Below are 16,591 nucleotides of genomic sequence, written 5' to 3' on the forward strand. Positions count from 1 at the left end.
AGTATCCAATGTTGAAACCCAATCCAAGGAAGCTAACAATCACAATAAAATGATATAGGAGCTGACAGACAAAATAGCCAGTATAGAAATGAACACAACAGACCTGATAAAGCTGAATGAACACACTATGAGAGTTTCATAATGCAGTCACAAGTACTAGCAGCAGGATAGACCAACCTCAGGAAAGAATCTCAGAGCCTGAAGACTGGCTTTCTGAAACAAGACAGTCAGACAAGAATAAAGAAAAAGAAATGAAAAGGGACAAACAAAACCTCTGAGAAATATAGGATTACATAGAGACTAAATCTATGACTTACTGATGTCCCTGAAAGAGATGAAAAGAATGGAAACAACTTGGAGAACATATTTCAGGATATCATCCATGAGAATTTCCTCAACCAAGCTAGAGAGGCCAACATTCAAATTCAGGAAATGCAGAGAAACCCAGTAAGATACTTCACAAGAAGATCATCCCCAACACACATAATAACAAGATTCTCCAAGGTTGAAATGAAAGAAAGAATGTTAAAGGCAGCTAGAGAGAAAGGCCTGGTCACCTACAAAGGAAATCTCATCAGATAAACAGCAAATCTCTCAGAAACCGTGTAAGCCAGAAGAAATTGGGGGCCAATATTCAACATTTTTAAAGCAAAAAAATTCCAACCCAGAATTTCATATCCAGCCAAACTAAGCTTTATAAGTGAAAGAGAAATAAGATCCTTTTCAGACAAGCAAATGCTGAGAAAATTTTTACCACCACACCTGCCTTATAACAGCTCCTGAAGGAAGCATTAAATATGGAAAGACTGTTACCAGCCACTACAAAAACACACTTAAGTACACAGACCAGCAACACTATAAAGCAACCACACAAATAAGTCTGCATAATAACCAGCTAACATCATGATGACAGGATCAAATTCACACTTATCAATATTAATCTTGAATGTAAATAGACTAAATGCCCTAATTAAAAGGCACAGTGGCAAGCTAGATAAAGACCCAAGATGTAATGATATGCTGTCTTCAAGAGACCATCTCACATGCAATGATGACACACATAGGCTCAAAATAAAGGGATGGAAGAAAATCTGCCAAGTAAATGAAAATCAAAAAAAGTGGGGGTTGCAGTCCTAACTTCAGACAAAAAAGACTTTAAAACAACAAAGATCAGAAAAGACAAAGAAAGGCATTACAAAATGGCAAAGGGTTCAATTCAACAAGAGGACCCAACTATTCTAAATGTATATGTACCCAACATAGGAACATCCAGATTCATAAAGCAAGTTCTTAGATACTTACAAAGGGACTTAGAATCCCACAAAATAATGACGGGAAACTTCAACAGCCCACTGACAGTAATAGATTATCAAGGGAGAAAACTAACAAAGATAATCGGGACCAAAACTCAGCACTGGATCAAATGGACCTGATAAACATCTAAATAACTCTACACCCCAAAATAACAATATAAATTCTTCTCATCACCACATGGCACATACTCTAAAATCAACATTATTAAACATAAAACACTCCTCAGAAAAATGGAAAAGAACTGAAATCCTAACAACCATTCTCTCAGATCACAGCACAATCAAATTAGAAATCAAGATTTTACTCAAAACCATACAATTACGTAAAAATTGAACAATCTGCTCCTGAATGACTTCTGGGTAAATAATTAAATTAAGGCAGAAATAAAGAAGTTCTCTAAAACTAATGTGAACAAAGACACATCATACCAGAATCCCTGGGACACAGTTAAGGCAGTATTAAGAGGGACATTTACAGCACTAAAAGCCCACATCATAAAGTTAGAAAGATCTCAATTTAATAACCTAACATCAAAACTAAAAGAACTAGAGACCAAGAGCAAAAAAACCTCAAAGCTAGCAGAAGACAAGAAATACCCAAAATCAGAGCTGAACTGAAGGAGACAGAGACACAAAAAAACATTCAAAAGATCAGTGAATCCACGAGTTTGTTTTTTTTTTTGAAAAGTTAATAGAACAGATAGACCATTAGCTAGACTAATAAAGAAGACAAGAGAGAAGATCCAAATAAACACAATTAGAAGTGACACAACGATATTACCACTGACCCTACAGAAATACAAATAACTATCAGAGAATATTATGAACACATCTATGCACACAAACTAAAAAATCCAGAAGAAATTGATAAATTCCTGGACACATACACCCTTCCAAGACTGAACCAGTAAGAAATTAAATCCCTGAACAGATCAATAACAAGCTCTGAAATTGAATTAGTAGTAAATAGCCTACCACAGCCCTGGACCAGACTGATTCACAGCCAGATTCCACCAGATGTACAAAGAAGTGCTGGTACCATTCCTACTAAAACTATTCCAAAAAAATTGAAGAGGAGAGGCTCCTCTCTAAATTATTCTATGTGTCCAGCATCATCCAGATACCAAAACCTGTCAGAGACACAGTGAAAAAATAAAACTTCAGGCCAATAATGAACATTGATGCAAAAATCCTGAAGAAAACACTGGCAAACTAAATCCAGCAGCACATCAAAAAGCTTATCTACCACAATCAAGTAGGCTTTAGCCCTGGGAAGTAAGGTTGGTTCAATACACACAAATCAATTAATGTAATTCATCACATAAACATAACTAAAGACAAAAAAAATGATCATCTCTATAGATGCAGAAAAAGGCTGTTGATAAAATTTAACACCACTTCATGTTAAAAAAACTCTCAATAAACTAGATAATGAAGGAGCATACCTCAAAATAATAAGAGCCATCTATGACAAACCCACAGCCAACATCATAGTGAATGGGGAAAACTTGTAAGCATTCCCTTGAAGACCAGCACAAGACAAGAATGTCTTCCCTAAACACTCCTAGTCAATGTAGTATTGGAAGTCCTGGACAGAGCATTCAGGCAAAAGAAAGAAATAAAGGGCATCCAAACAGGACGAGAGGAAATCAAACGATCCCTGTTTGCAGATGACATGATTCTATATCTAGAAAACCCCATAGTTCTGGCCCAAAAGCTCCTTAAGCTGATAAAATAACTTTAGTGAAGTATCAGGATACAAAATCAATGTATAAAAATCACTAGCATTTCTATACACCAACAACCATCAAGCCAAGAGCCAAATCAGAAACATAATTCCATTCAAAATTGCCACACACATACACACACACACACACATAAACACACAAATACCTAGGAATACAGCGAACTAGGGAGGTAAAAGAGCTCTACAACACTTCTCAAAGAAATCAGAGATGATACAAACAATGGAGAAACATCTTTTGCTCATGGATAGCAAGAATCAATATCATAGAGATGATACAAACAATGGAGAAACATCTCTTGCTCATGGATAGCAAGAATCAGTATCATTAAAATGGCCATAATACTATTTGGAGATTCAATAATGGCCAAAGCTATTTAGAGATACAATGTTCTTTCTATCAAACTACCAATGACATTCTTCACAGAACTAGAAGGAACTACTTAGAAATTCATATGGAACCAAATAAGAACCCGGATAGCTAAGGCAATCCTAAGCAAAAAGAACAAAGCTTGAGGCATCATGCTACCTGACTTTATGCTACAGGGCTACAGTAACCGAAACAGCATGGTACTGGTACAAAAACAGACACATAGACCAATGGGACAGAATAGAGAGCCTAGAAATAAGGCCACGCACCTACAACCATCTGATCTTCAACAAAGCTGACAAAAACAAGCAATGGGGAAAGGACTCTACATTCAATACATGGTGCTGGGATAACTGGCTGGCCATATGCAGAAGATTGACACTAAACCCCTTCCTTATACCATATGCAAAGATCAGCCCAAGATGGATTAAAGACTTAAATGTAAAACCCAAAACTGTAACAACTCTGGAAGACAACCAAGACAATACCATTCTAGACATAGGAATGGCCAAGATTTTATGACAAAGATGAAAAAGGAATTGCAACAAAAGCAAAAATTGACAAATGGGATCTAATTAAACTGAAGAGCTTCTGCACAGCAAAAGAAACCATCAACAGAGTAAACGACCTACAGAATGGGAGAAAAATTTTTCAAACTATGCATCTGACAAAATCCAGTCTCTATAAGGAACTTAAACACATCTACAAGAAAAAAACAAGCAATCCCATAAAAAAGTGGACAAAAAACATAGACACTTTTCAAAAGAAGACATACATGCGGCCAACAAGCATATGAAAAAAAAAGCTCAACATCACTGATTATTAAAGAAATGAAAATAAAACCACAATGAAATACCATATCACAGCAGTCAAAAAATAACTAATGTTTGCGAGGTTGCTGAGAAAAAGGAATGCTTACACACTGTTACAGGGAATGTAAATTAGTTCAACCATTGTGGAAAACTGTGTGACAATTCCTCAAAGACCTAAAGACAGAACTACCATTCAACCCAGCCATCCCTTACTGCCTATATACCAAAAGGAATATAAATTGTTCTATCATAAAGACACATGCACATGTGTGTTTACTGCAGCACTATTCACAATAGCAAAGACATGGAGTCAACCTAAATGCCTATCAATGGTAGACTGGATAAAGCAAATATGGTACGTATTCACCATGGAATACTCTGCAGCCATAAAAAAGAATGATATCATCTCCCTTACAGGAACATGAATGGAGATGGAGTCCATTATCTTTGGCAAATTAACACAGGACTAGAAAACCAAATACAGGTTCTCACTTAAAGTAGGAGCTAAATAATGATAACACATGGACACATAGAGAGAAACAATAGACATGGGGGACCAACCAGAGAATGGGGAGGGCGGGAGGAAGGAGAGGATCAGGAAAAATAACTAATGAATACTAGGCTTAATACCTGGGTAATGAAATAATCTATACAAAACAAAAAACCCCATGACACAAGTTTACCTATATAACAAATTTGCACATATACTCCTGAACTTAACGGTTAATAAGGAGAAAAAAAGAATTACACAACGGTATACACTTATTGAAAGTGTATATATGGCAATTAAAATAATCATTTTTACAACAAATGTATGTCATTGTGCAATCATAACTAAACAAAGGATTATGAAGGGAGCACTAATTCCCCATATTGAAAACCTATAAGCTTTGTGTGACCAACATGTATAAAAATAGCGAAAGTTTATTGTAAAAAAAAAAAGGGCCTGGTTCTTGTTTTTTAATTTATTTAATCTATGTTGGATTGTTGACAATGATATTCATGGGGATAATGCATATCTAAACTAGTTCTATGTACTTTTTCCTTTGTTTCTTGAGATATAATTCACATACCATAAAATTACCATTGTAAACTGTACAATTCTGTGTTTTTTAGTATACCATATTCACAATATGTGCGACCATAAGCACTATCTAATTCCAGGACATTTTCATTACCTCAAATGGAAACCCCATACCTACATAATTTTAAAGAAACAGAACACTAACTATATTTACAAATCTAAGCAGTGTATTCACTCAGACTTATTAGTACTAGAGCAGGAATAAGGAAGTGGTGCAGAAGTAAACACAGTTGGAGGCCATTCAAGCATTACCCAAGGTGAAGGTTGCCCAGTGAAAATGAACATCTGGTCTTCCTGGCATGTATATTCTTACTATTGAGATGCATAAATCAAGCTATGAAAATCTGATGAAATAAACGTCGAATTAAAACTCCTTTTTCTTTGATTACATTGCTCTTTACTATTCCACATGCTTAAAATTTGGGTTCTGGAGTAGATACCAATTTTCAGTCTGCCCCATATTCATCTTTTCTTCTGACCAGAACTCCACATTCCCCAAACTCCCCTCCTTCTTCTTCAGGGAACTGCTCTTCACTTTACTCCAGCTATGTAATTCTCATAGCACCTGCCATGTTCTTAAAAATTCAGGCTGTAGTTACAGTAGAAAAAATGGAAGACAGAGCTAATGAGTGGAGAGAAACAGAGTCCTAATGAAACCATTTGAGAGCTTGGGCCTCAAGGTCTGCACCTACACCTGAAAGCCAGACATACCTTCTGGACTTTTTAGTTACATGAGGTATTAAATTCTTCATTTTTCTTATGCCAGTTTGAGTTTCATTTTCTGGAGCTCGCAATCTAGAGTCCTAAATGATACAATATATCATTATATAATGTATAGAGGATCCACTGTCTCTAAGCTATCCATGAACTTGAAGCTCTATATACAATGAATTGTTTCAGATTTTATAAAAAATCAAAACACCAAAATACTAACATGGAACTTCAGTATATAAAGCAATCGAATCTGTATTAGTCAGTTCTCACACTGCTATAAAGATACTATCCAAGACTGGGTAATTAATAAAGGAAAGAGGTTTAATTGATTCACAGTTCCACACAGATAGGGAGGCCTCAGGAATCTTACAATCATGGCAGAAGGCAAAGGGAAAGCAAGGACCTTCCTCACATGGAGACAGGAGACAGAAATGCAAGCAGGGGAAATGCCAGGCATATAAAACCATTAAATCTTGTGAGAACTCACTCACTATCGCAAGAACAACATGGGGAAACTTGCCCCATGATCCAATCGCATCCTTCCCTTGACACATGGGGATTACAGGTCCCTCCCTTGACATGCGGGGATTACAATTCGAGATGAGATTTGGGTGAGGACACAGAGCCAAACCGTAACAAAGTCTAACCTTCAAGTCCACTAAAGTATACAAATGGCCAAGTGAAAACAGCACACTCCTCTCAAATTATGGTAATTTTTAAACTGTGAAATAGAACTAGAGGAAGTTTTTATCTGTCTCATTTGCCAAGTTAAAGGAAATGGGAGTAACTTTAATTTTTTTCTTATCTTAATTCACACAGTGACTAATAAAGTTTAGTTTGCACCAAATATGCCTATGAGAAATCCTTGAAGTTGACTGTCAACATGCTATCCTGTAATTCAAAATGGCAGCAAAATCTCAGAATAAAATCATGCAGATTAGATAGGAGATCATGAGTGTACCCTCAATATATCTCTCAGGTGATTAGAAAAGCAAATATTTCTCAGAGTCAAGAATACCATACCCCTACCTCCATGGGACATTATTTTTTTTCTTTGGTTTTAAGAAAATGACTCCAATGTCTCATTATTGAGTTACTAAAGCATTCATAAATGCATGTCAAACACAAGTAGATAATCTCTAAAAGTGAAATGAAATAAACCACACAAAATTTAGCTTAATTATGCATTAAAATGAGTTTCTGAATTCACACTTCAAAAACAAAATAAATTATGTATGGAACTGAGTTATGCTACTGCTTTAATGTCAAAACCAAAATGTCTCACACAGTCCACATGAAGAAAGTTGTTAGTAAACAAAAAGAAGACAAGCTTGATTATTTTTGACAATGATTATATTTTTAAATTTATCACATTTATGAAAACTTTTATCCAATGGCAGTTATTTGTTTTCCCACCTCCTACTATAATTTGACTACTTAAATCTATGACTGGTGTTGGCCAGGGCTAGGATCTCAAATATTTGATTGTTTGAGGGCACACATAATGATTTTAAATCAATATTCTGTAAACCTTGGGGAACAGAAAATCTTCCTATAACCCTACACAATCCTGCACATAATAAAAATAATAATATCAATAATTAGATCATCCTAAAATTTTATACCATGTACAACCCACCTTATCAGGGTAGAGACAGAAAGAATTTGGAGACGTTCCTAAAAATAATCCGCCTATACCCTCTTTATCAGTCAAAGCATCAGAGGACAAGACATTTGAACTCTGTTATAACAGATTATCAAGCAAAAATGATGGGTAAGTGTATTATAAACAAAGGGAACACAATGGTTCTCAGTAGGGAGGGTCCTCCCTCCAGGGAGCATTTGACAATATCTGAAGGTATTTTTTATTGTCAAAATTGGGAAGGTGCTATTGGCATGTAGTGGGTAAAGGACAGAAGTGCTGCAAACATCCTACAATGCACAGGACAGCTCCCCATAATAAATGACCTGGGCCAAAATGTTAGCAGTATCAAGGTTGAGAAACACTGAGCTAGAGAAAAGAAAGGGAGAAATAAATGAATATGTTTAAAGAACAGGGCATACATTATCTGTTAGTTACCTATTAGTTTTCAACAAATTACCACAAATTCAGCAGCTTGAAACACACGTTTATTATCTCAGTGAATTTCTGTGGCTCAGCAATCTGGGCACAGGTTATCTGGATTTTCTGCTTAGGGACTACAATCTTCATAAGAGGCTGCAATCAAGGTGTTGGCCAGGGCTGGGGTCTCATCTGAGGCTTGACTGGGGAAGGAGCTGCTTCCAAGCTCACATGGTAATTGGAAGAATTCAGCTCCTTGCAGGTTCTCAGACTGAGGTCCTTAGTTTCTTGCTGCCTATCAGCCAGAGGTCATCCTCTCTTCCTTACCATGTGTGTCTTTCCTTAGGGCAGCTCACACATAATATGGCAGCTTGTTTCAATATGGCAGCTTGTTTCTTTCAAAGCCAGAAAGAGTCTGTTAGCCTCTCTAGAGATAGGCTTGCACAATGACTAGCAAGAATAGGAAATCAATAAATAGTTGTTGAATTAATATGAAATAAACATAAGATTTTCACTGATTGATTAAGCATCTTATTTTTCTGACAAATAGCTGAGTGATCTGAAGTCTTTACAGACAGAATATATATACTGTAAATTTGAGCTGAAGGCTCTTGATGAAATAGAGTAAAAAACATTGAAACTATAATCAGCAAAAGGGTAAGCAGAAAAGAGATCTAATATCCATTCTATTACCTCTATGAACTAGGTAAATTTCAGACATCATTTGAGTAAATACTCATGACAAGCTTTATTTTATAAATGAGAAACATGAAGCACTAGGAATTTATGTGACTTGCACCTCTAGAAAAAGCTCAAAGTTGTACCTCCAGAACGCGGGAATAATAAGCTCAGTGACTGTCTCCCCAGAAAAAGGAAATAAAACTGGTAAAAACTACTTTTAAAATACACACAACAGTCATCTGGCAAGTGTCTTAAAAACATACAGCAAATGGTGAAACATTTATTTGAGAAAATCTAGTAAATCTCAGTAAGAAAAGCAAGTCTGTGGCCTTTGGGTCACGACTTGCTCCCTTTCCCCCAATGCCAACTCTGTATTATAGAAGCTGTACCCCAAGTCCTTTACTCCAGGCAGTTGCAACCAAAAAGACAGGAGTTCTATTCCTTCCCCACACCTGGTTTGGGGCTACAGTTCCCCCACAGCAGGAGTAGGCTGCCATCCTGCCCCAGCCATGCCCTGTGCTGCAGAAACTCTATTCCAGATTGTAGAGAGTAGCAGGTCTCCCCATCTCTGCCCTGGCTCAGAGAATGGAAGCCTACTCCAGCCACAGTACTGGGTCCCAAATCACCCTCATCTCAGCTTGCTCATAGGGCAGAGATTTCACACATGAATATGGAGACCAGGGACTGTTACCTCTTGTCTCCTGGACACTTGAAGAGTGAGGGGTTTCATTCCAGGAAAAGCAGGCTTCCAACCCTAGTTCTGATACTGTGGCTCAGGTGTTCTGCCTAGGGAGAAAGGCAGGCCATAAGGAGACTTAATTTTGAAACACCACAGCTCTGTCTAAAAGGAAACTTCATTTGGAGCAGCACATAGAGAACTTTATGTCTAAGGGTTTTGTGAAAAAAATAAAAATTTTATGGAGGTGACTTTTAAAAACACTCAAATTCCCCAAAGTTTGTCTCCAAATCCCTTGCTGCTCACTGTCTGCCTTCAGGTTGAGAGAGGTAAGATAGTCAAAAATATTAAAGTATGGTTAAGGAAGGAAAATACTCCACCAAGTAAATTTTATTACTAAAAAATACAAAAGGTAAATAACTAGTCAGAAAAAGATAAATTCTAAAGATAATTTTCTATGAGCATTTTTCCATTTAATTTTTAAAACTGTATCTTTAGGGGAAAAAATCAAGTCTGATGTTTATATTTCATTTATTAGTTTTCATTTAATTATGAAATGTTATAATTTAATAAGCCCTACAATAGTCTTCATTTCCTACATTCCTTATTCTAGACCATATTTTGGACTGCTCACAGCCACGATAAATTTTTCTCTTATCCACATTCATCAGACCAAAAACTAAGCATGCCTTTTCTATAACATAATTTGTGCATAATATAACTAACTCAAAATGTGATACATGAAAATAAACTTTTTAATGGAAAAAAATCAATAAGGTTAGGTGTGGGAGCCCATACCTAACCTGAATTGAAGTCAGGAGTTCAAGACCAGCCTGGCCAATATAGTAAAACCCCATCTCTACTAAAAATACAAAAATCAAGTGCGCCCCTGTAATTCCAGCTGCTGACTCAAGAGGCTGAGGCACAAGAATCACTTGAATCCAGGAGACACAGGTTGCAGTGAACCAAGATCACACCACTGCAGTCCAGCCTGGGTGATGGAGTGAGACTCTGTCACACACACACACACACACACATACACACACACACACACACACACACACACACATCAGTAGAAAATTAGAATTAAATTATTATTGGTCAGAAATAATATAATCCTTAAAATCTACAGATGATAATGATAAGGAAGGACAAAGAGTGACCTAGTCAAATGGTATGAGTCTCAAAGGACTCCCAAAGTTTCCAGTTACCCAGAAGTATTTTGCAGAAGCAGCTCTAGCAGCCTTTTCCTTTGGGGCTAGCAAGTAGTTGTTTCCATCCAGAAATACTGGAATCCATCTCCGTCATACCTATTCTCAAAATATGCTGATAAATTTAACTTCAATTTTAGTATCCTACCTCTCAAAAACAGGGTAAGGCATGGCACCTTAATTATTACCCAAGTTGGTATGTTTATGTACTAGGCTAAATTTGGCAAGTTTCCTCGAGATCCCAGGGCTGAACAGAAGAAACCCTTGACATCTGCAAGGGATAAGTCTTGGTTTCTTGGGTAATTCCCAATTCTGGACTACAATAGCAGCAAATAATTTTCCCCACAAATCGCATTAAAGAATAGTTTTACAAGAATTATTATAAGCATAGCAGAAAATAGAAAACAAAAAGCCACAAGAAATAATAAATAATAATATCAGCTAACATTGATTTTCTATATGCTTGATATACTTTACTTGTATTAACTTTTTTAATACTTGCAAATGCTGAAATGTAGTTTAAGCTCTCCCACCAAATAAATATCTCTCTTATTCACAGCAATCAAATGTTGCAGCTTAAATTTATGTGTTAGGAAAATGGCCATTTATTATATGACATTGACCTATCAGTAGGTCTCACAAATGGTTGAGACCAAGAATGAATGCCAAGGCTAATAACACTGATAACCTCCCAGCTGTGGTAGCTACAGGGCTTTCCTTCTGCTTGAGAAAAAAGCAGAGGGAAACATAAAGGGGACTTTGTCTTGCACCTGAGGTACCAGCACAGCCACAGCGAGGCAGAGCACCAACTGGGATCTTGGGGTTTCCAACTCCAGGACTTGATTCCTGGATGGTGTATTAGTCTGTTTTCATACTGCTATAAAGACATACCTGAGACTGGGTAATTTATGGAGGAAAGATGTTTAATTGACTCATGGTTCTGCAGGCTGTACAGAAGGCATGGCTGGAGAGGCCTCAGGAAACTTAAAATCATAGCTGAAGGCAAAGGGGAAGCAGGCACAATTTTTACATGGTGGCGCAGGAGAAAGAGAGTGCAAAGGGGGAAGTGCCACACACTTTTAAATCATCAGATCTCATGAGAACCCACTATCATGAGAACAGCAAGGGGGAAATCCATCCCATGATCCAATCACCTCCACTAGGTCCCTCTCCAACACTGGGAATTACAATTCAACATGAGATTTGGGTGGGACACAGAGCCGAACCATATTAGATGGCACTTCTGGACCTGCCCTGGTCCAGAGTGGAGCCCATTGCCCTGAAGGGTAAGTCCAAGGTCAGGCAACATGCATCACAAGCTGACTTAATAGCCTTTGGGACTTAAGGGAACATTGGTTGGTAGTCTGGCCATCCTCCTTGTGGCCTGGGGTGGTGGTGGCTACAAGGTGAGGCTCTTCTGCCTTTAAAAAGAGAAGGGAAGAGTGGGAGGACGGCATCCTGTGGTTTTAGTGCAAGCTCAGCTGCAATACAATAGAATACCTGGTAGACTTCTAAGGTTTTTTACTCTAGTCCCTGACTCCCAGACAGCTCCTCTGGACTCACCCAGGGCCTGGGAGACCTTGCCTCCCTGAAGGAGAAGATAAAGGCCTGGCTTGCTTTGCCACTTGCTGATTGTAGAGCCCCAGCGTTTTGAGTGGACATGGATACTAGCCAGAAGGTGGCTACGGCAGACCTTGGGCGAGACCCAGTGCTGTGCTGGCTTCTGGTCTGATCCAGCACAGTCACTGTGGTGGTCACCACACGGGTGCTGTGTCACTCCACCCCTAGCTTTAGGTGGGTCAGAACAAAGACAGACTCTTTGTTTGGGAGAAAGGAAAGCAAGGGAAGAAACAAGACTGTCTGCCCGGTAATCCAGAGAATTCTCCCAGATCTTGTCCAAGACCATCAAGACAGTACCTCTACGAGTCTGCAAGTGCCACAGCATTACTGGGGCCCCCTAAAGTAAATACAGCTTAGATCACAACACCCAAGTCCTTTTAGATATCTGAAAAGCCTTTCCAAAAAGGACAGCTAAAAATAATTCAAGACAGTGAAGATTACAATAAATACCTAACTCTTCAATCCCAGACACTGAAGAACATCTGCTAGCATCAACATCATCCAGGAAAACATGACCTCACCCAATGAACTAAATAAGGCACCAGGGAGCAATCCTAGAGAAACAGAGATATGTGACCTTTCAGGCAGAGAATTCAAAATATCTGGGTTGAGGAAACAAAAAGAAATTAAAGATAACACAAAGAAGGAATTCAGAATGATATCAGATAAATTTGATAGCAGACAAGCAAAGAGATTCAAATAATTAAAAGAATCAAGCAGAAATTCTAGAGTTGAAAAATGCAACTGGCATACTGAAGAATGCATCACAGTCCTTTAATAACAGAATGGATCAAGCACGGGAAAGAATTGGTGAGCTTAAAGACAGGCTAAATTGAAAATACAGGTCAGATGAGACAAAAGAAAAAAGTAAAAAACATAAAGTACACCTACAGGATCAAGAAAATAGCCTCAAAAGGACAAATTTAAAAGTTATCAGCCCTAAAGAGGAGGTAGAGAAAGAGATGGGGTAAAAAGCTTATTCAATGGCAGAATAACAGAGAACTTCTCAAACCTAGAGAAAGATATCGGTATCCAAGTACAAGATGGTTATTGAACACCAAGCAGATTTAACCCAAAGAAGATTACCTCAAGGCATTTAATAATGAAACTCCCAAAGGTCAAGGATAAAGAAAGGGTCCTAAAAGCAGCAAGAGAAAAGAAACAACATAAAATGGAGCTCCAATAGGTCTGACAGCAGGCTTCTCAGTGGAAACCTTACAGTTCAGGAGAGAGTGGCATGACATATTTAAAGTGCCGAAGGACAAAAACTTTTACCCTACAATAGCATATGCTTTGAAACATGAAGGAGAAATAAAGACTTCACAGACAAACAAAAGCTGAAAGATTACATTCATACCAGACCTGTCCTACAAAAAATGCTAAATGAAAAAAAAAAGGACATTAATGAGCAATAAATAATCATCTTGATGGCAGTGGCTCCTGCCATCATGCCGGCTGCAGCAGGGAAGGGTGGCTGGGGCTGCCCACTCCATGGAGCTGGTGGGAGCCCCACCCCTTCTGAGTTGGGGCAGGAGCTCCCTGGGTGCCACTGCAGCCACCGAAAGGCAGCTACAGACCCAGGCCTCCTGCTCTATGGAGCAGGCAGGACCCACAGCCACCCAAACTGCCACTGTGGATCTGAGCCTCCCTGTCCTCTGGGAGAGGGGCTGGGAACAGGCAGGATCTGACCTCCAAGGTGCAGCTGCAGCTGCAGGACCCTCGACTGCAGACTTGGGCCTCTGGTTCCATGGATTTGGTGGGAGCCGCGGACAAGTAGGAGCCCCACCCCTTCCGAGTTGGCAGAGCGAGAGCTCCCAGGTGCAGCTGCAGCCTGCCACCCAGGCACAGGAACCTGGGCATCTCTGCAGTCTGCACCCTCGGGGGCCCCAGGAAGGACCCCCCCCCCATCCCTGCAGGCTCTGGGGTGTCTTCTCCTGCTGCCTGACCTCTCTCCACTCCTGGAACCTGTTCTGATCTCTGAGCAGGGGATTGGAGGCAACCCCCAAGGGCCATGAATGGCAGCTGGAGGCAGATTGATTCCTGGGTAGAACACAGGTCCCCAGTAAGGCCCCATCTTTAGGCCATGGAGGGCCTGAAGGCTGGGGGCTGGGGGCTGGAGTGCCAGACCTGCAGACCTAAGTGGGGTCTCCTGGTGCCTCTTCCAGGCGCCCATGGCCACCCATGGACTAACTGGAACACACTTCCTCCTTTCTGAGGTCCATAAAATCCCTGGCTCAGCCAGAGCAGGGCCGAGGATGACCAGAGGATAAAGAGGGCAGACAGACAATGGGAAAACCAGCTGCAGAGAGAAGCTACACTCTCTGCTGAGAGCTGCAGATGACAGGACAACCAGCTGTAGAGAGGAGCTACCCTCTCTGCTGAGAGCTGCAGAGGTGACCTGCCAGCAGAGAGGAGCCACCCTCTCCAGGGCCTCATATCTGCTGAGAGCTACAGACATCAGGATGACCAGTAGCAGAGAGAAGCTACCATCTCCAGGGCCTCCTCTCTGCTGAGAACTGAACACTTGACAGTAATCTGCCCACAGAGAGGAGCTACCCACTGCAGGTCTCCTATGAGTTGTTGTAATACTCAATAAAGCTTATCTTCATCTTGTTCACTCTTCACTTGTCTGCATACCTCATTCTTCCTGGACAATGCAGGACAAGAACTTGGGCAAAAATGCTGCAGCCACAGAGGTTTCCAGCCAGCAAATCGACACCCTAAAGATCTAATAACAATCTCAGGGTACAAAACTCACTGTAAAAGTAAGTACACAGGAAAACACAGAATATTATAACACTGAAACTCTTATCCTAAGTAGAAAGACTAAACAATGAACCAATCTAAAATAATAACTACAACAACATTCCAAGACATAATCAGTACAATGAAATATAACAGAAACAACAAAAGTTAAAAATTGAGGGGATGAAACTAAGGCATAGAGTTTTTAATAGTTTTCTTTTTCCTTGTTTGTTTAGGCAAATAGTGCTAAGTTTTTGTCTGGTTAAAATAAAAGGTTATAAGATAGATTTACAAGCCTCATGGTAACCTCAAGCCAAAAACATACAATGGATACACAAAAAATAAAAAGCAAGAAACTAAATTATATTACCAGAGAAAATCACTTTCACTAGAGGAAGATGAGAATGAAACAAAGAAGGAAGACCACAAAGTAACCAGAAAACAAATAACAAAATGGCAGGAGTTAGTCCTTACTTATCAATAATAACATTGAATGTAAAACTATAATAAGATATCACCTCACCCCAGTTAAAATGGCTTATATCCAAAAGACGGGCAATAACAAATGCTGGCAGGGATGTAGAGAAAAAGGAACCCTTGTACACTGTTGAATGTAAATTAGTACAACCCACTACGGAGAACAGTTTTGAGGCTCCTCAGAAAACTAAAATTTAGCTACCGTATGATCCAGCAATTCCACTGATGCGTATGTACCCAAAAGAAAGAAAATCAGTATATCAAAGAGATATCTGCACTCCTCTGTTTGTTGCAGCACTGTTTACAATAGCTAAGATTTGGAAGCAACCTAAGTGTCCATCAACAGACGAATAGATAAAGAAAACATGGTACATATACACAATGAAGTACTGTTCAACAATAAACAAGAATGAGATCCAGTCATTTGCAACAACATGGATGGAACTGGAGATCATTATGTTAAGAAAAGTAAGGTAGGCAAAGAAAGAGAAGCATTGCATGTTCTTACTTACTTGCGGGATCTGAAAATCTAAACAATTGAAATCATGGACATAGAAAGTACAAGGATGGGTTACCAGAGGCTGGAAAGGGTATTGGAGGGCTCGAGGAAGGTAAGGATGGTTAATGGGTACAAAAAAAATAGAAAAAATAAATAAGACATATGATTTGATAGCACAATAGGGTGATTATAATCAATAATAACTTAATTGTACATTTTAAAATAACTTATAAAGTATAATTGGTTTGTTTGTAATTCAAAGGATAAATGCTTGAGGGAATGGATACTCCCATTTTCTATGATATGCTTATTTCACATTGCATGCCTGTATCAAACATCTCAAGTATCCCATGAATATATACACCTACTATGTACCCACACATATTTTAAAAACTGTAAAACTTAAAAATTTTTTTAAATAAAAGCACATTAGACTGGGAGAACAGAAGCCTGGGTCAGACATCATACAAACACAGCCCCATAAGTCCAGTCTTCTCTACATGTGTGTTTTGTTTGACTCACACTGTTTTTGCTTTTGTTTTTGTTCATTGTATTTTTCAATTAAAATATTTTCATATAATTC

At 38.9% G+C, this 16,591-nt stretch overlaps 1 long non-coding RNA gene across 2 annotated transcripts in view; it reads right to left on the reverse strand.

The window, feature by feature from the left end:
• TTC14-DT (TTC14 divergent transcript) overlaps positions 1 to 16,591 on the reverse strand; it is a 121,249-nt gene that overhangs the window by 36,817 nt on the left and 67,841 nt on the right. Inside the window, exons 5-6 of one of the 2 annotated variants that reach the window (NR_183701.1) lie at positions 9,472 to 9,566; positions 8,146 to 8,494 (exon numbers count right to left, since the gene is read on the reverse strand). The exons of the other annotated variant lie outside the window; for it this stretch is intronic. This is a non-coding gene — a long non-coding RNA (TTC14 divergent transcript). Of the gene's footprint in view, positions 1 to 8,145; positions 8,495 to 9,471; positions 9,567 to 16,591 lie in introns of those variants that run through there. 2 annotated transcript variants of the gene reach the window in all.

The sequence above is a fragment of the Homo sapiens genome, chromosome 3 (genome assembly GCF_000001405.40).
Source record: "Homo sapiens chromosome 3, GRCh38.p14 Primary Assembly".
In the NCBI taxonomy this organism is placed as follows: Eukaryota; Metazoa; Chordata; class Mammalia; order Primates; family Hominidae; genus Homo; species Homo sapiens.